This window comes from Homo sapiens, chromosome 3 (assembly GCF_000001405.40).
Source record: "Homo sapiens chromosome 3, GRCh38.p14 Primary Assembly".
Taxonomy (NCBI): domain Eukaryota; kingdom Metazoa; phylum Chordata; class Mammalia; order Primates; family Hominidae; genus Homo; species Homo sapiens.
Genome location: NC_000003.12, coordinates 49,626,616 through 49,650,080, shown reverse-complemented (window position 1 = coordinate 49,650,080; position 23,465 = coordinate 49,626,616). Strand labels below are relative to the sequence as shown.

Here is a 23,465-nt window from a genome sequence, read left to right as displayed (position 1 = left end):
GACTCCTGGGGCCAGGGGAGGCTGTCTGGGAGTAACCCTGCTTGGTGGAGGACAGAGGGGCTGAGCAGTCCTCCCTGCTCAAATCCCCAGCCCAAGTCACCTTGTCTAAGGCCAGCAGAGACCCTCAGGTAGAGGCCTCCTCCTGCCCCCAGGGCTCTGGACTGTTCCTCTGATGGGGACTATGTGTGGTGGCCCTTGTGTCAGGGGCCCTGCTCCTTCCAGAGCTGGACTGGGATCAAATTCTCAACCATCAGTCCACCACTCTCAGGATCCTCTACTGTTTCAGGCCCAGTGCTGGGGGCTGAAGACAGCCATGACTCAGCAGACAGACAGGCACTGGCATGCAGCCTTTCTGGAGCCCACAACCCCAAACAGGTCATTTACAAGTATGACACAGGTATCAATGGTGAAGCCCCCAGAACACAAGAAGCGAAGTCCATGTCTCCCAGCCCCAGCTGCTTTGTACAGGCATAGGGTTTGGGCATCTCTGAGGCCTAAATGGGTGATTCCTGCAGCAGGTCTGAGGCTGACAGGGGCATGTCTCCCAGTAGCCTCCTCCAGAGTCAGGGCTCCTCCTTGGCAGGATTTGAAGTCCTTCTCTGGCCCACATGGGATGGAGAATGAGAGTTACAGTGGAGCCCAGAGCAGGGTCCCACAGACACCTGTGCCTGTTCTTACTCTGTGGCGCAGAGCCTTAGTGCTCCATCCGTCCTGCAGGGAACTCACTCATCCCAGGTGCCTGGACATACAGGCTCCCACCAGCAACTCTGCCACCGAGGTGGACCATAAGAACCACAAGGTCACAGAGCCAGAGGACTGGAAAAGGAGGTGACCTTTGGCCCTTGCCACCCCCAGGAAGGCTGACAACCTCAGTACCCTCACTTCACATGCTGCCTCTGGCAGCCTTGGAAGCCTGGTACCCCCAGGGTGCCTGCCCTTAGCCTGGCATCCTAGGGCCACCATGGCAGATAACATGTCAATGATTCTGCCCTGGTTTGCTGTCCACAGAGAGCTACACTCCACTTCTCTGCTCTGGGCTTCAGCAGAGGCTAGGCTGGGCAGGTGGCAGGGCCTTGGTGTGTGTTGAGGGACAGGCCTGCTCCCCAGGCTGGTTACTCAGGGTCGAGACTGCTTCTCTCCCACTGGAGCTTCTGCTCTTCCCCGAGGCCCAACCTCATGCACAAGTCCCAGGCAGAGGAATGGGGCAGTGGCCCAGCTGTGGAGGGGGACCCTTTAGATGCCCTACATACATATACTCACTCTGTTCTCTGCACAGCCCAGCCCTAACACCACTACTGACTCCCTTGAACCTTATCTGATGCTCAATGTGTCTCCACACAAAACCCCACAAGGCAGTAAGTGCTGGCCACTGGCCAGGCCCTGGGCTCACTTGGCCTGGCAGGGTGCACCCCCAGAGGTGCCTGGGGAAAATACAGATAGGTTGAGACCGAGCCCCAGATGAACAGGACATGGGAGAGCACAGAGCCTGATCCAGGAACCCTAGCTCACATGCCCCCAGCATCACCTGTGTACACAATGGAAATTCCCCCATGTCAGAAAGGACTGTGAGATGGCAAAATGACCCTGGAGAGATGGCAGGGCTATAGGCAGAGATCAAGAGAGAGAGCTCTGGAAATGATCAAACAGCCCCTTCCCCAGCCCTATGGTCAGCATGATGGGTTTAGGATCTAGGCCCAGTGGGCTGGCCCAAGGCAATGCTGCCCTAACTCCACTTTGGAGCCCTGTGCACACCCATCCCATGTTAGGCCTCTCAAAGTTTGGATATCTGCCCTGGCCCACCTTGGTGGCCTGGCAAACTCCTAACCCCATCTCTGGCCTGCGAACCCCACACAGAAGCAACAGTCTAAATGAAGCAAGTCACCTTGGAAGGGTAGTCTGGATGGAGGAAGCAGACCTAATGTTAAGTGCTCTGACCAAATGCTGGAGAGGCCAGCTTGCCTGAGCCCAGAGGCCCAGCTCTCAGCAGAGATGTTACCTGTGGTCACATGCTCCCTGGTGCTTTGCTCCTTCACACATTTATTCATGGAGACAGCCAGGTTGCAGGTTGCCTGGCAGGCCCTCTTGCTCCTGGCTCTGCTATAGTAGGCAGTGAGGAAGGGAGAGCAGGCAGGAAGAGGCGTGTGAAGTAAGGGCTAAAAATAAACATTGACCTGGCTGCTGGAGGCCCTTCACAAGCCCTCTGGGAGTGGGGAAGAAGGGTACAGGGCACTGGGGCTGGTAGGAGTAGAGCCAGGGGAGACCTGGCCCAGGCCCAAGTCTTCTGGGGAATGAGAATCGGGTGGAAGGCAGGCCATGTAGAATCTCTGTGCCTGGGGGCTGGGACAGCTGGGGTCCCAATTCCTTTATTCATTCTATTCTCATTTTCTCCAACCCCAACATACCCCTACCTCCATCCCAATCATTCATTCCCTTATTCTTCCGCTCGTTTCCATTCCGCAATTTCAGTGTTCATTCCTCATTCAGCCATCCATTCATTGCACAGCCCTCTCGTACTCTGCCTCACTCAGCCCATGCCAGCTCCAGTCCTTGGGAAAGTGCTGCCTGCTTACCCCTTCGCCTGGCCTCTTTGACAAAAGGGCAGGGGATGGATAATGGGGTGGCTCTGATGACTACTTCTGCCTCATTCCCTCTGTCCAGTTCCTTTCTAGGGCAGGAAGATACAAATTCCCCAAGGACAATCATCAACTAACAGTGGGAGAGGCAGGTGTGTATGCCATCAGATGGCACTCAGTGGTTCAGGGCATCACTATTTAGGGTAAAGAAGGGGAAACGGGATGACTGAGTTAGTGGGGTGCCCTCTAGGCACGTGAGAGCTGCTGCCTTCTGGGACCACTGGCCATTGTGCCTTGTGAGCCAGGACAGATCCTGCACTGTCTGCCATCATCTGAATGAACCTACATTCCACGTAATCTCTTCATGTGTGGAGCTGGCCTGCATGCCAGTATGGTTATGGTGACACCGTTCCAGTCAATGCCCTATGGCCAGCTGCCTGGCCCTAAACACCCTCAGCCCTGCTGCCAGACCAGGGGGCTGTGAATGAGAACTCCAGAGAAAAGGATGCCCAGGGGTCATCTTGGAGGACACTGGACCACAGGGATGGCCATCACTGGTGCTGCTATTCCTCTCCTGACTCTGCGACCCTGAGCCTCCCTGTTGCTGGACATGCCTAAGCTCCTTCTTTCTGGGCCTCTTCCTCCCATAAAATAAACCCACCATGGTGTCCCCAGTGTGTATCCTTGTAGCTGGGCTGTAACCCCCTCACCCCCCAGCACCAAATGTGTTTGTTCCCTGTGGGGCATCCCTCATACCAAAAGCTTACACCAGCCACAGGGTCCATCCACACCCAGATAGGGGCTCATGGGGACGCTTCCTTTCTCACACAGAGACCCTCTTTTAGGATACTCCTGTTCCAAAATCCTGGCTTAAGGGCTGACTGTGTCAGGCCTTGCATAAGCATCTGAGGTACAGCATCTCACCTGGTTCTCACGGAAACCTAAAAGGGAGTATTGTGGTCCCTATTCTACATGGGAGGCAACAGGACCTCTGGCCTGATGCCCCTGCTGCAACCCCTACCCCAATGAGCAAGCCCAGCCCCATGTATCACAGGTGCAAGGGACTTTGCCCAGGGAGGCCCGACTTCTCAAGGGCACAGCTGGAATTTTGGCAATGATGATATAATAAGAGACTGGTAATGTTACTGTCACAATTCCAATTCAACTAATTTCTTCACAAACTCTATTTTGAACTGAACGTCAATTAAAAATTAAGCCAGAGAGTACTATTATCCTTCCAAAAGACAAATAGGTAAAAAAAACTGGAATCAACAACTCTTAATTATGAAATGACTCACTAAATAGCACTATGGTTATTTTTTTTCAGAGGAAAGTTCAAAAGGAAAAAGGATCCAATTCTACTCTCTCCTCTATTGTGTGCTCTGAACTCCCAATCTAGAAAGAAGAAAGATTTCTACAGCTCAGAAATGTTCAGGAAAATTTCCAACCTATGGGGAAAATTCCCAACCCACTGGCCCAGATGGTTGACTGTGGCCTCAGGTGGAGTCCCAGGAGGTCTAACAGGGCTGTGGGAGCTATGAGGGGGGCTCCACGGGTCTGTCCCTTCTTTGTGCACAAAGACACAGCACAGTCGTTCTTAAGCAGGCAAGGTCCAGAGAGAGACAGCCATGGCAGACCCACCCTTAGGACCTGGAGAAGGACCTGCTGGCCTTACCACCACACTCCCAAGGCAGGGTAAGTGTCTCTGGCAAGTGCTGAGAAATCAGAAACCTCTAACCAAGAACACACCAAGTAGGTCACAGAGAAGCACAAAATTGCTCAGGATGCCAAGTGGCCATTGACTGAGGTGAGATCCAAGACAGACCACAGCCTGGTTAGGGGCCTCAGTGAAGAAAAGCAATGCTGAAGGGATGGTGAACATATCAGCACCAGCCCCTTGCAAGACCCAAGGCAGGTGAAGCTGCACAGAGGTTTTGGTCATTGTGTGGGTAAGGGAGGATAAGGACGGAAGGACTAAGGCTGTGAGCATGGGTGGGAGAGAGGCCAGATTCTTGTGACAGTGGGGAGGCAGAGCTGGCAGGGCTTGGTCCATGGAGCAGGTGCAGAGGTTAAAGAGGAGGAGGTGAGGATGACCCCGGGCTGCTGGCTTGCATCTCTGGTGGTGGATGGTGGTACAGTCTCTATGGTGGGAATCATGGGAGAGGCATTATGGCCGCCTATCCACACCTTCCCTAGAATAGCTGCAGGCCCTCTGGGGACAGCAGCATTGATAGGGAGAGCTATGAGAAAGGAGTTAGAGAGACTTCATCACCCCTGACTGCTGTCAGGAGCAGCCTGAGCTGGGGATGAGGTAGGACCAGGACTAGGACCAGGACATCCCCCAGCTTTCTTTCAGGCCCATGGGACCCATCAGACCCTATGGAGATGAGAGTGGTCCTGGCTAAGGAGGGGGCAGTGGGGCAGGACATGGAGACAGCAGGAAATTGAGAGAGGTGTGATGGGGGGAACACCGGCCATCAAGAGACAGAAGCTCCAGGGTCCAGGATAGCCAGAACCAAGCAGCTAATGAGAGGCCTAGGCCAGAATCCAGACGTTTCATCTAGTCAGCGTGTGAACGAAACTCTTCTGTTTGGGCAGAATCAGCACTTCCCGTGGCCTGGCCCAGGGACGGCCAAGAGGAACTGTCAGGAACATTTATGCTCCTGGACAGAGACAGTTTTCCCCTCCCATTCGTGCACATTCTGCTTAATAAGGAAATGTGGGCTGGGAGGTCTCTTGGGGACAGGAGTCCTCCAGGCCAGGCCAACTCAGAAGTCCACTGGGGCTCACAGTCGCTCAGTGTCAGTGTGCCCCACCTGACCAGCAGTGAGCTTGTGCCTGGAGGTCTCTGGGCAGAGCAGCCAGCTAGGGTTCTCCTAGTCTTGTGGTGACACCCTGGTGCACCCCTTTCCCCGAGCCAGTGAGGCAAACTGTCGCCAGTGAGCCACCAGATCTAGAGCTTGGAGAGTTGGCTTCGTGGTGCCTAGAAGACCAGATGGGTGCCACATGAGGAGGTCAGTTGTCTTGCTCAGGGCTGCCCTTCCCTGCATATTGGAAAGTGTGGCCTTTGGTGGCCAAAGTAGTCTTCCTAGTCATGCTGGGGTCCCACGGGGACTCCTGTGGAGTCCTGGCCCAAGGGAAGTCAGAACAAGGTGCCACAGAGGCCATGGCAACATCATGCTCTCCTCTCTTGTCCCATCCTGGGCCAGTGGTGGTTTGCACTCCGCACACCCCTGTGCCACCATCAGCTACAAATGGCTCAGCCCAAGAGACCAGAGGGCTCAGGTGGCTCCCCATGTGCAAGAGGCAGGGCCTTGGCTCGAACATCTCCTAACGTGACACAGCTGGGAAACACATTCATCTATCAAGACTGAGGGCACTCTAAGGAGACACACCAAGCTACGCCCAAGGCAGCATGGTAAGGGTCACATGGGTGACCCTGGGCCAGGGAGAGTGGGCCACAGGACTGAGGGAGGAGCAGAAGCAGCATCTGCTCCTGGCCCAGGCTGGTCTAATTCTGCCAGGGCACCTTCACCTTCTGAGCCTCTTGGGCTGGACTCCAGGCTTCGAGGGAACACTGAACCTTACACTGGGCCTCCTGCTCCCTCCTGCCTAGCACTGCACAGTGCTCAGTGCCCTTCCCTGGAGCAGGGGCTGCGGAGAGAATGGCCACAACCCCAGGTCTGTCTCAAACCTTCCTGTGGGAAAGAGAAGCATCTCTGAGCATCCCCAGTAGCAGCTCTAAGGAGAGCCCAGCCCCAGCCTGGGTAAAACATGTGGACCAAAGGCTGTGACTTTGACAAGTAGACGTCAACACTTATGACCTCAGAAGAGACAATCAAGGTTGAATACCACCTTGCTGGGCTGGAGCCTGGACAGTGGGACATGCCCTGCCCCATTGTGAGAAAGCCTCCCACCCCACCCTGGATGTGGGACGCAACCCTCTGCATCATGGCCATTCGATCCCCACCCCTCTGAAGGTCACAGGTCCATGGCAGTGTGGGACCTCAGGTTCTCCTATCTGAGCAGGGGAGGTTGGTGTCTTTCATCAGGGCCATGCCCATGGTAGCTGGAAATGGGGAGGCCAGCTCAGGGACTCTGGGATCAGCCTTAGGGCACTAGTCTGAGTCAGTAGGCACCATTACCCCCAACTCTGAGTGAAAGTTAGTTCTGAGTAGAACTGGGGCCTGAGGTAGGGACAGGAAAGGGAATGCAGCCCCTCTGCAGCATTAGTTGTACAGGAGCAGCCCCATGGCTGCTGCAGACCCAGAACTCTTTCTGGTTCCCATGACACTCACTACCCAGGCCCGGCCTCTCATCAAGGTTCAAGGGAGCATGCTTGGTCCAGCTCTTACCTCCACCAGGTGGGGTGTTGGGTTGAAGCCACACAGGTTGCACACCTGGAGCCTGCAGGTGGTGCATGTGTTATAGTTGGCTGGGCTCTTGCTGCCCACGTTGAGCTCGGCTTGGCACAGTGGGCAGATGGCCCTTTCCTTCGGCATGGTCTTTGGCTTGGCAGCAGCCTTCGATGCTGCCTGATGTTCTGCTCTGCCATGCTTTGGACTGGTTGTTCCCCCAGTTTTCGGCAGGGCTCCAGGTCCAGATCCAGGACCCATTCTAGCCCCAGGCTCAGTTTTGGCTCCAGGTGCTGGCCCAGGCCCGGGCCCTGAGCCCAAGGGTTTTGGGCCAGCCTCCTTGCTGGCATCATTGAAGACGATCTTAGGTGTCCCCTTGCTGGGGGCAGGCTGGCCCTGGGTGTCAGCCTCGGGCTGCACAGACATGAGGGTGCTCGCCTGGGTTAGCAGTGACGCGCCAAGGCCGAAGAGCTTACCAGTGAGGCCCTCCTGGGTCTGCTCAGTGGCACCAAGCCCAGCGGGCACTGCGGTGGCACTTTTGGCCGGGGCCTCTCCTGCAGGTGGCCTGGGCTCAGCTGTGGAAGGCTTGGTGGGTTGAGGGGGCTGAGGAGACACCCTCCCCACCTCTGGAGGGGCAGCTGCTTGGGCAGGCCCCGGCACTGAGGTGGCCCTGGCTGTCTCAGCCTGGCGGGACCCAGGCTGTGGTCCTCCTGGGCCCCGAGATCTCTCTTGGTCTGGCTTCCCCAGGGGCTGTTTGGCCGGGGAGTGGGCAGGAGACAGGGCTGGGGAGTGCAGCTGCTGCTGGCTCTTGGAGCGAGGTGCAGTGGTCATGTCCATTCCCAGAGCCCTCTGCATCTGACAGTTCAGACAGAGCCACTCCTTCACCTGAGGAGAAAAGCAAAATAGTCAGCAGGGTGGCCAGGATTGGCAGTACTCATGGCCCAGGTCAGTGCAGGCCCCACAGCAGCCAAGGCCACTCCTAGCACAGGCAGGAGCACCAAGCCCTGCTCAGGCATTTCTGGGCTGCCAGGTGGCAGGGCTGAAGGACAGATGGCACTCCCCTGCCCTCTAGGAGTTGCCAGGCATGTGAGGCAGTGGAGGCAGTCCCATCCCCCACCCCACCCCAACCACCAACTCACTGCCTGCCAGACCCTCCTGCTTGAGAGTCCTCCCCGCCACCCCCTGGCAGTGCCTCAGATCTGTGCACCCCAACCTCCCGCTCGGATGAACCCAGTAGCCTTCCCCTGCTTCCCACTTCAGGCCATTTGCACATAGCAGCCAGACTGATCTTTTAAAACCTAACCCAAGAGGAAAGGCATGGCCCTAGAGCAGTGCTTATATGCAATGGGTATTCAGTAAAAACTCACATAATGAATAAATAAGTGAAGAGTAATACGTGGGAGAAGGAGGCATAGAGAATAAAAAGAAACCATGATTCCTATCCTGAAGAAGCTTAGAGTCTAGCTGAAGAAACAAGATACTACAGAATGAAAAATCTTGAGAACAAAATAAGCGAGGGTAAAGTAATGCAATGTAAGTGACTGATGTTAAGTAGAATTTTTTAAAGCCTTTTTTTTTCCCTTAAGGAAGATAGCTTTTTAAAGAAGTGGGATAATTCATGCCTCCAGAGCAAACGAGACATGTGCCGCTATCCATGTGATAAACACATAGTTTCCCTCTGCCATTAGCCCTGTGCAGGGATGGGCACGTGACCTGGCAAACAGAGTCGGTTAGAGCCCTCCACGTTATCTGGTAATGAACAACAGGAGAGAGGGTCTTTATTCGTTTTCCTTTGGATTACTAATCAGAAGGATGTAGCTTTGCAGCAGCAGTAGTCTTCTTTCCCAACATACAGAGAGATGCTAAGAATGATGTCCATAGATGGTAGGAGTCAACGAAAGGAGAAAGGAGTAGATCTGATGACTTCATTCCATTCCCTGGATCTGGCTATGCCCCAAGTCTACCCTTGGACTTCCAGTTACATGACCCAATAATTTTTCTCCAAAAACCCACATGTAAATCAGAGCATCTCACCAATAGGATCAAACACTCTAAGTGGATTTCCACCACACCTTGGGAACTCTTCAGCACAACTCTGTGACCCAACCCAGCCCCACCCCAGCCTCCCCCTCTCTCTGGTCTCTTTTCCTGCCATCTCCCCTTGGCTGTTTCACTGCAGACACTCTAGGCTGTCTGCTCTGCCAAGTGGTCCCCTGAGCTCATTTCTGTACCAGGGCCTTTGTACTCCTTATTCCCTCTGCCCCCTGGCCCAGCTTGTTGTACAGATTTCAGATGAGGTAACACTTTCCCACCAGGACCTCCTCTGGCCACACAATCTAAAATGCTCTCCTTTGGCCAGGTGCGGTGGCTCACACCTGTAATCCAGGCACTTTGGGAGGCAGAGGCAGGAGGATCATTTGAGGTCAGGAGTTCGAGACCTGCCTGACCAACATGGTGAAACCCCATCTCTACTGAAAATAGTAAGAATTGGCCAGGTGTGGTGGCGAACGCCTGTAATCTCAGCTACTTGGGAGGCTGAGGCAGGAGAATTGCTTGAACCCAGGAGGCGGAGGTTGCAGTAAGCCAAGACTGTGCCGCTGCACTCCAGCCTGGGCAACAGAGTGAGACTCCATCTCAAAATAATTAAATAAATAAATAAAAATAAAACACCCTCCGGGTACTCTGTGTCAAATCACCCAGCTTATTTTCTCCATAGTGCTTATTCTTTCCCAAAGTGTCTACTGATTTGTTGTTTACAAGGTGTCTTCTGTGCCCCAAAGCAGCCCATGAGCTCTCGTTGATAGGGTGTTCTCAGGGCTGCACACAACATGTGGTACAGAGCAGGGCTCATCCCAGAGGGGCTTGCTTCATTCATCCTGGCAATTTGGTCATGCAGGTCATAGCTCAACAAGGTGGAAGCCCCGAGATTTGGTGCCTCAATGAAGAGTCTCCTCCTCATCAACCAGAGCTGAGGCTGGAGGCCAAGGTTGTTCTCTGTCTGTGGTTGCAGCCAGAGGTTCTAAATGCACCCTATTGGCCACCCAGTCATCACCAGGGGAAGGTGCCGTCTCATCTCTGGGGCAGAAGGCCCCTTTTATTTACCCACACGTGGCTCCAGCCCTGCTCTCTGCCTTGAGGCCCCAGGGCTACTGCTACAGGTTGACTTGCCAGTTGGGGGACCTGGGCTCAGGTGCCTTATCCCAGCAACCCAAGGGCAGCAGCCAAGAAGAGGGAGAACACTGCACTTTGGCAAGCACCCCCTTGTGCCAAGCACCACATAGGGCATGTTCACAGGCATTCTCTCATTTTGTCCTCACAGGAGAGAAAACCAAGATCTGAGATGTTTTAGCAATGTGTTCTCAATGGTTCCCTGGCTAGGAAGTGTTGCTGCTGGCAAGATCAGCCCTGACAGCTCTGCGTAGCTCCTAAACCACAGCCTGGACAGCCTGGAGCCTGGTGCCTTCTGTAGTCCTGCCTCTTCCAAAGGCCAAGTCAGGCTCTAGAAGTCAGCACTGCAAACCCTGGCAGAGCCCCCCAAAGGCCAATCCCAGTTCTAGAAACTCTAAGAACAGTGATGCCGAGGCAGTGAGGTGAGAAGCCATCCCACTAGCTGGGAACAATTAACCCACCCAAATGCTTTTTAAGAAGCAAGGCAGGCCGTGCACCGTGGCTCACGCCTGTAATCCCAGCACTTTGAGAGGCAGAGGCGGGCGGATCATGAGGTCAGGAGATCGAGACCATCCTGGCTAACATGGTGAAACCCCGTCTCTACTAAAAATAGAAAAAATTAGCCGGGTGTGGTGGCACATGCCTGTAGTCCCAGCTACTTGGGAGGCTGAGACAGGAGAATCGCTTGAACCTGGGAGGCAGAGGTTGTAGTGAGCCGAGATCATGCCACTGCACTCCAGCCTGGGCAACAGAGCGAGACTCTGTCTCAAAAAAAAAAAAAAAAAGAAAAAGAAAGAAAGAAGCAAGGCAGCTTTGTCTATGTTTGGGTAGAGAAAGCCAGAGAGAAAACAATTTCAGTCCCTGAACCCAGTCTAAAGACCTCTTTAGAAAGGTCATTCTTGGGAGGGAGGGGCTTATTCCCATCAAAGTGAGAGTTCCCCAGAGCAGGCCATTTCTACTCATCCAGAGAGGGACCCTGGAAGGGGATTACTCCTCAGAGGGGAAGCTCAGCCTCTGGCCCAGGGTGGCAGCCACAAATTCAGTTCTTCCCGTGGGTGCCCAGCCCACACCCAACGTCCCATCTCTCTCATTCACCTGGGCACTGCAGCATGCCCTGAGGTGAGACTTCTTCCTGGGAAAGGGAATTTAGGAGGTAAGGCTTCTTATCCTGCAACTTTGGGGTGACTGTCCCTGGGGTTCTGAATCAGGCTGAACAAAGGCACGTGCCAAACCGCCTGCACTCACCGCCAGAACTTTCCTTTCCCCAGCCCCTGTCATCCAGGCTGTGGCACAGGCATCTCACCTAAAATAGAACTTCTCCAAGAAAAGGCTGAAACGCCCCTCAGTGACTCATCGCCCAGATGGGTGCAGCTATTTCTATCCAGCCTCTTCCAGACGGTAAGGAACCTTGACCGCACCCTCCCCACAGCCCCTCCCAGGCTCAGGCCCAGCATGCAAGGCCTCCTAAGGAGGACACTGGCTGAGGGAGCTCTCTGAGGCCAGCAATACATCCCCCTCTCTGCCTCCCCGACAGATCCCCAGCAGTTTCCTGGGAGGAGCCCAACCTCAGTCTCTTCCTCCATACTGCAAGGCCCCTATCCCCACACTCAGGGGGATGGAGGCTGTCCACGGGGTAGGGAGAGAGATGATGGCTGTGCACCCCAACCCACCCGCCCACCCAGCCTGGGTATACATGAATAGTTCTGTGGCAGACTCCACTGGCCTGAGTGCCAGTACAGTTAGAGCCTTCCTTAGCTGCACACAGTGATGCCTCCTCATCAAGAGGTTGAACCCAGAAGGCTCCCTGTGGCTCCTAGGCCCTCTCCAAGCTGGCTCTCCATCAGAATCAGAGGGACTATCCTTTTACCAGTGTGACAAGAAGCCTCAGCTAGGGTTCTGCTGTCTAATACCTCCAAGATCCTGATCTGGCACATGGGCAGGAGATGTGCAGGCTACCAGCCACGAGCCTCGTGTCTCAGGAGCCTTCCTGGGGCTACCCTAAGGTGGACAGCTCTGTCAGACATTAGCTTTGAATGAGCTGACTCTTCTTGCTAGCAAGGAAGCCCATCTTGCCATCTCCAAGGACTGGTAGGGACCTCCATGGAAGCCCGTGCACCCCGACCCAGTGGGGGCCTAAGTGGCAGTAAGGATGGGAAGGCTCAGTGCAGTACAAGGTCAAGAGGTGGTTTAAGAGGTGGGGGAAGCAGAAGCTGCAGGAAGCCTTCCTACAGGCTTTGCAGGGAGCCACTGCCACCTGTCTGCTAGGGACTTGGAAACATAGGACCCTGTGGGCTCTGTAGCTCTGAGAGGACTTTCTCCCTGAGAAGAGTCTTTTTTAGCTGCTTCCTTACTCAAACTATTCAGTGTGCAGAAGGGCAGCTAAGGTGGCACTGGCCAAGGATCCAGAGGCTTGGGGCCCAAGCTGGAGGCTGTATGAACTCTAAGTTGAATGAGCAGCTGTGATCTGTCTGCAATGGTCACTCCCTGGTAATTCCTCCACTGGGCTCTGGAGCAAGGAGGGCAGTTCTGGGAAGAGCTTCTACATCTTCCCTGCAGGAACACTGGCTGCACAGAGTGTCTCAGCCCTCAAGGGTGGGACTCAGCCTTGCTTGCCATATCTGGCCCCAAAGGATGCTCACAGGGTGGAGTCTACCTCACGGTCACCTCCATGGCTGTCAGGAAGCTCTGAGAGCCCCCCGAAGTCACATGTTCTCTTCCCACTCGCCTCCTCTCACCCCCCCAGCAGCAAGGAAAAGGAAGGTTGCAGACGTCACTCAGCCTTCTTCCTGTGGAGAGCCCCAGCCCTACCAGGGAGAGCAGGCATTCAGTGTTTCAGATCACTCAGCACTGACATCACGCCTGATGCCGCATTTATGCTTTCCATTTTGGTACAAGTTGAAACATCACAGAAACAGCTCATAAAGGAGCCCTCCCTGCAGGTGCCAAATCTAGAGGTTCCTGGGAGGGCCCCACTGGCCAGTGTGACTATATGCCTTTCTGGGCTATGAGTCACTGGCCAGGTCTCATCAGGAGGAACATACCTTCCCATGCCCCCTGGACAACAAGGACAGGCCGATGTGCAGAAGGGCAGCTAAGGTGGCAGCTGAGAGGGAGGGAGTCAGGCCTAGCCTGGATACTCACCCTGGTACAGCAATAGACATGTTGCCTGCCCCATCTAGCACCTTACTGTCAGCTAGCTGACCTCAGGCTTAGGAAGCAGGTACCACAGGGTCCCAGTGGGCAGGGTCACACTGATCCAGAGCTGGACCAGCCAGGGGAGGCCTGTGCCAATCTATCAGAGCCCTGAGGAAGGTCTTGGGAACCTGCCCAACATCTGAGGTCAGGATCTGGGGAGTGGAGGCTGAACCTAATCGCACCTGGGGCTAGAAGACCTCACTGGCTTGGATCTCCACGAAAGGGAGAGGATCCGTCCCCTTGCTGATCCCTGGACACATCTGTCTCTCTGCCCTCAATATCTCTTAACTCCTCCCACACTGCTCTGGACAGCCCCCCTCCCGACCCAGGATGATCTGGTGTACCCTGTAACACACCCCATCCATGACTGGCCAACTCCCCTGCACCCTCCCCATACACACTCCTCTTAGTCACCAGTAACCCTCTCCAGGAGAGGCTGGACCCTTGGACTAGCCTCAACTTCTCCTTAAAATCCCCAGGACCCTTTGGTTCATGCCCAGCTTCCCCTCCTGGCTTCTGCTGCCCTCCCTCCAGGCCCCTTTATCCTGGCCTGCAAGTCCTTGGCCCTCGCCTCTTAAACTCCTGCTAAATGACTTCCATGGTCACTCCAGATGACCTGCAACCCACATGGGGCTGAGCTGCAGACCACTTCTCAAAGCTCACCGACTGGAATAATTAATTGCTGTACATTGCATTATATGTAAATTTTAGCTAAAAAAGAGAAACCTTAAATAAATACTGAACTCTAGTTAATGATACGCTTGAAGTGCTTAGTGGGAAGTATACTGATATCAGCGATGTACTTTTTTTTTTTTTTTGGAGGGGGACAGGGTCTGGTTCTGAAGTGCAGTGCCATGATCATGGCTCTCTGCAACCTCCACCTCCCAGACTCAAGTGATCCTCCCACCTCAGCCTCCCGAGTAGATGGGACTACAGGCATGGCGCCACCACACCCAGCTAATTTTTGTATTTTTTTTGGTAGAGACAGGGTTTTGCCATGTTACTCAGGCTGCTCCTGAATCCCTGGGCTCAAGCAATCCTCCCACCTTCGCCTCTCAAAGTGCTGGTATTACAGGTGTGAGCCACCATGCCTGGCCCACTGCAATGTACTTTGACATTCAACAAAAAGATGGATGGATAGATGGACAGACAGAAGAACAAATAGATGGTAGAATGGATACGTGATAAAGCCAGGAGAGGAGGGGTTCATTATAAATCCAGATAGTGGCTTTGTGGGTGTTCCTTGTACAATTCTTTCAACAATTTTGTAGGCTTGAAAATATTCATAACTTGAGGTTGGGGGTAAAAATGACTTGTCAACCTGGTTGTTCTGTTTTGCTCCACCCAGCAAGGCATCAAGAGCTCCTGTGATGGGCTCTTGGCAGTTGACTCCCCACTACTGCTCAGATATTCTCCCCTCCTGGATCCCTTGGCCCTCCACTTGCTGGCCTTTCTACTCTTCTTTGCTTATCCTTGCCAGCCACCTTTGCTGGGTTCTTCTCAGTGCTGGGGAGCCCAGATCCTGACACCTCTTCTCTCTGTCCACATCTCTCCTATGGCACTTTAAATGTCACTATATGCTTGTGAATATGAAACAAAAGTCTCCATCCCAACCTGCCTGTTTCATGCCAGGGTCTTAGATTTGTCAGGCACCTTCAACTTGGCAATGGCCCAAACAGAAAAATTCTCTATCTCCATCTCCTACCCTCCACATCCAATCCAATTCTGTCTGTTTAGCCACCCAAACACACCAGGAATCTATCATGGCTCTTCGCAGTCATCATCACCACTACCCCAGCCTCAGCCTCAGCCCCCTCTGCCACTCTGGCTCCCAGAGCCCACCCGCTACCCCTGCAGGCTGTTCTTCACATAGCAGCTGGGCGGGGGAGGGGTGTATATATATGTGTGTGTATGTGTATGTGTTGTTTTAGTGTATATGTATATATATGCACACACATATATAGTGTGTGTTAAAATAAATATTAAATTGTAATTTTAACCATCTTAAAGTATACAATTCAGTGGCATTAATAATTCATAATGTGTAACCATCACCTCTGTCTATTTCCAGAGGGTTTTTAAAATTAGCATTATTTTTGGCCGGACACTGCGGCTCACGCCTGTAATCCCAGCACTTTGGGAGGGTGAGGCGTGTGGATCACTTGAGGTCAGGATTTCGAGACCAGACTGGCCAATGTGGTGAAACCCCATTTCTACTAAAAATACAAAACTTAGCCGGGTGTGGTGGCACATGCCTGTAATCCCAGCTACTTGGGAGGCTGGAGGTAGAGGTTGCCGTGAGCCAAGATTGCATCACTGCACTTGAGCCTGGGCGACAAAGCGAGACTCCATCTCAAATGAACAAATAAAAAAAAAATTTTGCATTGTTTTTATTGTGGTAAAATACACATAAATTTACTACCTTAACCATTTTTAAGTGTACAGGTCAGTGGTATTGTATTCATAATGCTGTACAACCATCACCACCATTCATCTTCGTAATTCTTTCCATCTTGCAAATCTGAAACTGTACCCGTGAAACTCCCCATTCCCCCTTCCTCCAGCTCTTTTTTTTTTTTTTTAAAGGCAGAGTCTTGCTCTGTCATCAGGCTGGAGTGCAGTGGCACTATCTCAGCTCACTGCAACCTCCGCCTCCTGGGTTCAAGCAATTCCCCTGCCTCAGCCTCCCAAGTAGCTGGGACTACAGGCATGGGCCAACACACCCCGCTAATTTTTTTTTGTATTTTAGTAGAGATGGGGTTTCACCATGTTGGCCAAGATGGTCTCGATCTCCTGACCTTGTGATCCGCCTGCCTCGGCCTCCCAAAGTGCTGGGATTACAGGCATGAGCCACTGCACCCGGCTCCCCTCTTCCTCCAGCTCTTGACAACTACCATTCTACTTTCTGTCTCTGTGACTTTGACTACTCTGACCACCTCATATTTGTCTTTTTGTGACTGGCTTATTTCACTTAGCATAATGTCCTTAAGGTTCGTCCATGTTGTATCATGTGTCAGATTGTCCTTCCTCTTTAAGGCTGAATGATATTTCGTTGTGTGTATGTATGTATATACATATATTTTGCATATTTGCTCATTTGTCAATGGGCTGTTGGTTGTTTTCACATTTTAGCTATTGTGAAAAATGCTGCTGTGAACATGGGTGTACAAATATCTCTTCAAGACCTTCCTTTCAATTCATTTGAGTGTATACCCAGAAGTGGAATTGTTGGATCATATGGTAATTCTATTTATAATTTTTTGAGGAACTGCCATACTGTTTTCCAGAGTGGCTGTACCATTTTACATTCCTAAAAACAGTGCACAAGGGTTCCAATTTCTCCACATTCTTGCCAACATTTATTTATTTATTTTTACAGCAGCCATCCTTAACGAGTATGAGATGGTATCTCACCGTAGTTTCAATTTGAATTTCTCTAATGATTAGTCATGTTGAGTATCTTTTCTTTTTTTCTTTTTTTTTTTTTTGAGACAGAGTCTCGCTCAGTTGTCCAGGCTGGAGTGCAGTGGCGTGATCTTGGCTCACTGCAACCTCCACCTCCTAGGTTCAAGCGATTCTCCTGCCTCAGCCTCCTGAGCAGCTAGGATTACAAGTGCCCACCACCACACCCAGCTAACTTTTGTATTTTCAGTAGAGACAGAGTTTCTCCATGTTGGCCAGTCTCAAACTCTTGACCTCAGGTGATCCACCCGCCTCAGCCTCCCAAAGTGCTAGGATTACAGGTGTGAGCCACCATAGCCGACCTATGTTGAGTATCTTTTAGGGAGTTATTAGCCATTTGTATATCTTCCTTGGAGAAATGTTTCTTCAAGTCCTTTGCCCATTTTGTTTTTCAGAGACAGGTTCTAGCTATTTGCCTAGGCTGGTCTCAAACTCCTAGGCTCAGGATACCCTCCCACCTTAGCCTCTCAAGTATCTGGGAAGACAGGTGTGTATCACCACACCTGACTCCTCTTTGCTCCCCCCCACTTTTTTTTTAGACACAGTCTGGCTCTGTCACCCAGTAGTGCGATCTTGATTCACTGCAACCTCCGCCTCCTGGGCTCAAGCGATTCTCCTGCCTCAGCCACCCGAGCAGCTGGGAGCACAGGTGCCCACCACCACGTCTGGCTTATTTTTTTATTTTTAGTAGAGATGGGGCTTCACCATGTTGCCCAAGCTGGTCTCAAACTCCTGAGCTCAGGCAATCTGCCTGCCTGAGCCTCCCAAAGTCCTGGGATTACAGGCATGAGCCACTGCGCCTGGCCTCTTTGCCCACTTTTAATTGGGTTTTTGTTTGTTTATTTCTGTTGTTGAGTTGTAAGACTTCTCTGTATATTCTGGATATCAATCCCTTATCAAATATATAATTAGCAAGTATTTTCTCCCATTCTGTGGGTTGCCTTTTTACTCTGTTAATAGTGCCTTTAGATGTAAAAAATTTTTAAATTTTCATGAAGTCTATTTTGTCTATTTTTTCTTTTGTTGCCTGTGCTGTTGGTGTCATATCCAAGAAACCACTGCCAAATCCAATGTTGTGAAGCTTATCCCCTATGTTGTCTTCTAAGAGTTTTATAGTTTTAGCTCTTATGTTTAGGTATTTGATCTATTTTGAGTTAATTTTTGTATATGATGTAAGGAAAAGGTCCAACTTCATTTTTTTGCATGTAGATATCCAGTTTTCCCAACACCATTTGTTGAAAAGATTGTTCTTTCCCTACTGAATGGTCTTGGCACTCTTATCAAAAATCATCTGACCGTATATGTGAGGGTTTATTTCTGGGCTACGTATTCTACTCTATTGGTCTATATGTCTCTATGCCAGTACCACACTGTTTTGATTACCGTAACTTTGTAGTAAGTTTTGAAATCAGGAAGTGTGAGTTCTTCAGCTTTGTTCTTCTTTTTCACAATTATTTTGGCTATTTGAAGGGCCCTTGAGATTGCATCAGAGGGGTGTTTTAAATGCACATCTGACCTTCCTACTGCCACCTTCCCAAACCTTGGGAGTGCATCAGGAGACCCCAGCAAGCCCAGCAGGACCTGCATGCCTTCTGGTCCTGTCCTGTGGTACAGCTGTCCTGGACCTTTGCTCCTGAACCCTCACATGAACAAAGCACATCCCCTCAGGCCTCCTCTTTTTCCAACTGCCTCCCATCCAGCAATTCTGACATTCTACAGCCTAATGCTCTCTTTGGAGAAGCCCCCAATAACTTTTTTTTTTTTTTTTTTGAGACAGAGTCTTACTCTGTCACCCTGGCTGGAGGGCAGTGGCATGATCATGGCTCATGTAGCCTAGATTTTCCCAGGCTCAAGTGATCTTCTGACCTCAGCCTCCCAAATACTTGGGACTACAGGCATGCACCACCATGTATCTTTGCACCATGTATTTTTTTTGTAGAGATGGGGTTTCGCCATGTTGCCCAGACTAGTCTTGAACTCCTGGGCTCAAGTGATCTGCCCACCTCAGCTGCTCAAAGTGTTGGGATTACAGGTGTGAGCCACCATGCCCAACTACCCCCAGGAATCTTGTCTCAGCATCGTACCAACAGCACCCGCCATAGCCCTCCCCTCCTTGACCCCAGATGTGATTGTGTGTTTGCTTGTGTGGTTCTTGGTGGCAGTGGTGCCTCCTGCACTGGTCTGAAGGCTTCACAGAGCTGAGCAGCACATCTGCTTCATTTCTACCTGTTTCTCCAGTGTCTGGGACAGTTCCCGGCTATCAATAGGACTGAAAAGCACTGTGGAGGGAGGCAAGGACAGGAAGAAGGGAGAGGGCTGCCCTCTGACTCAGTGGGTTAAACATGCCTGTCCAGGCCAAAGGCTGAGCAAAATAAAGAGTAGAAGCAGCAAAACCAACAGGTTACCAGCCAGCAACTGGGAACTTTACCAAGATTTCCTGGTCCCTGCCTCTTCCTGCCTCTGGCTCTCTTTCCATCACCTCCCTTTCCTGCCTCCCCTTCTTGTGCCTTCTTCCACTTCTTCCAACTCCTACTTTATTCATGGATTTCTTTTTTTCTCTACCATTTTTACTGCATTTTCTTTTTATTCTGTTTCCTTTGCCCTTAGATATGAAAACAAGTGTTTTAGGAGTAAAATTTCTTATTTTCAGATCTGAATTAATTTTACATTCATTCTTAGCTTAACTTATGGCCCTCTTCCATAACTAAAAGGTAGAATTCCATGCCTGTTGTCTCCTCACGGCCCCAGTGGCTGTGGCCTCCACCCTGCAGTGGTCCAAGCAAGTAAGCAGGCCAAAGGTCCTGTCTTCTGGGAACATGGACCACTTCGGGGCATGTACTAAGCAACAGGGCTGGCTGCTCCAGAGTGACTAAAGTTTGGAGAGTATTTCTCTATTGACTTGGAGACTGTTTAGGTCAAAGTGGCTACTCTAAAGCAAACTGCCCAAGGACTAGCTATTCGGTGGGAGAAAGGCCTCCTGAAGGGCCTGCCACCTGGAGATCCACTTCCATTTTGTTTGGAGGTGAGCATTGGAAGGCTGGGCAGACACCCTCCTGGGCCCAGGAAAGCAGAAGACACCTTTACCTCCCCTCAGTACACTGCTGGTCCCATGTCCTGAAACCTGCTCCTCATTCCTCTCTGGCCCAGGTGGCAGTGTGGCCAGGAGGGAGTAGAGGGAATGAGACAAGGCTGCTGGCTGTAGCAGAGGGATCTGTACTGAACTCACAGCACCACCCCCGAGCCATCTGGAGCCCTGGCCCTTGCCGGAAAGCAGTGGGATGCAGGCAGGGGAGAGAGAGGCTCGGAGCCACTGCACTGTCTCCCTCCCTTCTCCACGCCGCCCACCCTGGGAAACTGCGTAGGCTCATGGTTTGCCATTGGGTAGGAGTTGGGGATGGTATGGGTTAAATATCCTTGGCTTGGCCTCAGCAAAGTCCAGACCTTGGAATGGATGAGGTAAGACCATGCTTACTCCTCTGTAGTTTTCCTAGAGAGGCTTATAAGTAATTCTGACTAGAGCAAGGGTGGTGGGAGGCAGATGGACCACCTTGGCCTGGAAGGCTGGGGATGGGGTGGCAGCCCTGCTGCTCCCCACAGGGGCAGAGCGTGGGCCCCTTCACTCTAGATGGTGCTCTGGGAGGATTCAGCTGATCAGACTGGAGGCTCGGGCATGCAGGCAACCCTGCCTCTGCACCGCAGTCACTCCTGGGATGCTGTTCTGAGGATGAGGACAGACTGGCATCTGCAGGAGCTCCAGGCCAGGATGTGCTTCTGGGGCTGCTCTGAGTGGGGCATGGAAGTCCCTGAGAAGCCTATAGAAGCAGGCTATGCCTGCCCCAGGCCACGGTTCATATTCCCCAGCAACTCACTCCCATCCCCACTGCCCACCCCAACTGCATCTTCTCATCTTCTACTTAGCAGGCTCAGGCCCATGCCTTGTCTCCCTCCCACCCCCAACTGTCAGAATAGAAGCCTAACAAGGGCAACACGGGCCACCCTTCTGGTGCAGAAAGGGGTGGCGGGCCCACATGTAAGTCACTGAAGAACGGAAAGGTGGACTAGCAGGCCTGAGCAGGCATGGGCATTAGCAAAGGCACTGATGCCAATCCTTGGAATCCTGCTTTTCCTTCAGAGAAATCTGACATTCAGGAAATTCAAGTATTTGTCCAAAACCCCACATCTACAGAGAGAAAAGGAGAATGGTCTTCCTGCCTTCTCCTTGTCAGTAAGGACTGAATGCTAACACCTCTGGCCCCCTGGCATCAGTGCATTGTCAGAGGGAGGGTCTCTTGTGGGTGGTGAGAAATGTTCAGGCCTCAAACAGAAACACCCAGTCTTTCTCTGTGGTTTCGGACAGGTTAAATTACTCGCTTGCCCTGAGCTACGAGGACTGGGGATATCCAGAAAGAAATGGCCTCCACCAAGAAGAGTATCTGGGACTGCCCTATTTGTTCTGAACCAGCTTCAGCCTTAGCAAAATGGACTATGGATGGGGAAAATGAGGCTGCAAATCCCTGGGGGAAAGCTGGAGACCAAGCCACTGGTCTAGATCCACAGCTCTTTTGCTCCAGAATAACCCAGAATAAGCCAAGACTTCCTAAGACTCAGTCTCCTCATCTGTAAACAGGGACTGTGCTCTGAGCTCCTTCCCCAATTTCCATACAGTCTCAACATGCTCTAGGCACTCAGAAACCCAGCAAACTACATGGGCAGGCCTCCTGCTCTCTGCTGGATGGGCAGAATGGTGAGTACCATGTCTGTCTGTGTAAGTGTAGTAGACCTCCAGCAGCCTAGGGCTGATAGGGGAAACTTGGGTCCGCTGGCCAGAAAAACAGTGATTCCAGATCTCAGACACTGCTGCTAGCCAAATGGAGCTAACTGTGTGTGATTCCCATCTCCAGATCTCATCTGCTGTTTCTGCAGCACTCAGCTAAAGTAATAACTCTGACTGATGCCATCATACACAAAAACAAAAACACCAAGTCCTGGTGACCACTGCCCAGTGGGGCCAAGTTCTTTCCCTCCTTTCTGTGCATTTGTCCTCATGCAGCCATTCGGCACAACTGTTCAATCACACTCCAGATCTACACAGCAGCTTGAGTTCCAAACCAGCCAGTAAGTCTCTATTAGTGACACACATGAACAAAGTTCCATTTTCTGCGGTCACATTTCAAAGTTCCAAGCACAGTTTCACTAGTCATCTTGGAGATGCCCTGAAAGCCTCCATGTCACTTGTGTGGCCCACGTCCTTCTCTGGGACTGCTATATCCCTCTGTCCACTGGGAAGCTGAGGAACAACGCATCCTGCCGACACGCCCTGGACACAGCACCCAGGCTGCTGGACCTCCTCAACCAGGCTCAGCGTGACTACACTAGCAGCTCCAGGCATACTACCCAGCCCACACAGGATCCCCAGGACACTCTCCAGTTGCCAGTGTCTGCAGTGCATCTGCGCTGGGACTGGCAGTACCTCTACCTTTTTCTACTCTGATTGGGCCACTCCTGGGAAGTGAGGAACTGAAAAAGAAAGTGAGTGCTGTAGCTGAGTTTCCTGGAAAAGGTCACTCTCTCTGACCCCATCACCCACCCAGACACCTAACTTCAGAACCAGCCCCTTACACATGCCCAGAATCTCAGGCCAGGCAGGAGTTCAGCCCAGAGACACCAGGGCAATCCCAGCCTTCTTGACTGACATAACATCAAGTTAGAAGTGGCCAGGACAGATGTAGTCTGACTAGGACAGATCTAACAGCAGGTGTGTGAGCAAAGCCTGCAAACCTGTTTTCTCATCACATGGAAGCATGACCAGGAAGGTGAACCTGCTCTTAGCAAAGTGACAAAGAGCAACTGCACTGGTTCACGAATTATGCTTTATCACCCCTCAGGAAGATGTGCCAAGGATTATTTTTTCCTTAACAAGAACACCACTGAAAGCCAACTCTAGAGAAGCGAAGGTTCTACCTGAAAACCCCAGCAGAGAAGGGTATTCACCATGTGTGAACTTGGAGAAGGGACCAGGTCAGCAATTCCCAAACTGGGTGCCATGGAACAGCAGCTCCTAAGATGTTCTGTGAAAGCAAGTCTGGGAAAGGCTGCCAACCATAGCCCTGTCCTGGAACTCTGTGATGCCCCTCAGGACACTGAAAATCCTGAGGAATCTCACAGCAAAGAAACATTTCATTTGTCCAGCCCAGCATTTGTTTGAAGTATTTGGCTGAGACCCACTCTTCACCAAACACTATGGATCTGAAGTAAGTGTGAGGCCCCATCTTCTCCTGGCCCTGAGCCTCAGCTTCCTCCCAGCACAATGAGGCAGATGGACTGAGTGTCTCCAAGGTCTTCCTACTCTGCTGTTTTTCCAGGCACAGCCAAAGGCTGGCTCCCTTCCCACCTCATTGAAGGTCCTGGGCTTGGAGAGCCTATAGGCAGGGGCCATGGTTTGGTGAGGAATGGGATGCCCACCAGGAGCCTGGGGCCACCATGTGTGGCTCTTCCTTATCCCCACCCACCTCACTCGGAGTTGTCCAGGTGCTGTGCTGCATCTCAAGGGAGCTGGAACCCAGAGGGGCAAGGCCAGCATGAGGAGGGGATGTCCCATAGCGGTACAGTCCACCTGCCAAGCCTCCCTGTTCCTGTGAGGGGCTTCTGGCTTCTCACTGGCAGAAACACACAGGTGAGCTTCCCTGGCCTTAATCGTATTGTTCCAAATTCT

General features: G+C 52.1%; 1 protein-coding gene across 5 annotated transcripts in view, besides 3 other annotated features; it reads right to left on the bottom strand.

Moving 5' to 3' along the window:
• BSN (bassoon presynaptic cytomatrix protein) overlaps positions 1-23,465 on the bottom strand; it is a 118,654-nt gene that overhangs the window by 23,050 nt on the left and 72,139 nt on the right. For all 5 annotated transcript variants that reach the window (XM_047449150.1, NM_003458.4, XM_047449149.1 and 2 more), the window contains exon 3: positions 6,929-7,813. In XM_047449150.1, coding sequence (XP_047305106.1) covers positions 6,929-7,813 — 885 coding nt within the window. The remainder of the gene's footprint in view (positions 1-6,928; positions 7,814-23,465) is intronic.
• Positions 4,896-5,079: a silencer, noted in NCBI's record as "fragment chr3:49682435-49682618 (GRCh37/hg19 assembly coordinates)". NCBI's record gives its function as "represses an EF-1alpha promoter that drives an FKBP-Casp9 reporter gene in an ReSE screen in HepG2 liver carcinoma cells {active_cell/tissue: HepG2}" and the evidence as "EXISTENCE:reporter gene assay evidence [ECO:0000049][PMID:32094911]".
• Positions 10,890-11,389: an enhancer, noted in NCBI's record as "H3K4me1 hESC enhancer chr3:49676125-49676624 (GRCh37/hg19 assembly coordinates)". NCBI's record gives its function as "activates a minimal SCP1, AML or CMV promoter by ChIP-STARR-seq in primed H9 embryonic stem cells {active_cell/tissue: H9 hESC(primed)}" and the evidence as "EXISTENCE:reporter gene assay evidence [ECO:0000049][PMID:30033119]".
• Positions 11,390-11,891: an enhancer, noted in NCBI's record as "H3K4me1 hESC enhancer chr3:49675623-49676124 (GRCh37/hg19 assembly coordinates)". NCBI's record gives its function as "activates a minimal SCP1, AML or CMV promoter by ChIP-STARR-seq in primed H9 embryonic stem cells {active_cell/tissue: H9 hESC(primed)}" and the evidence as "EXISTENCE:reporter gene assay evidence [ECO:0000049][PMID:30033119]".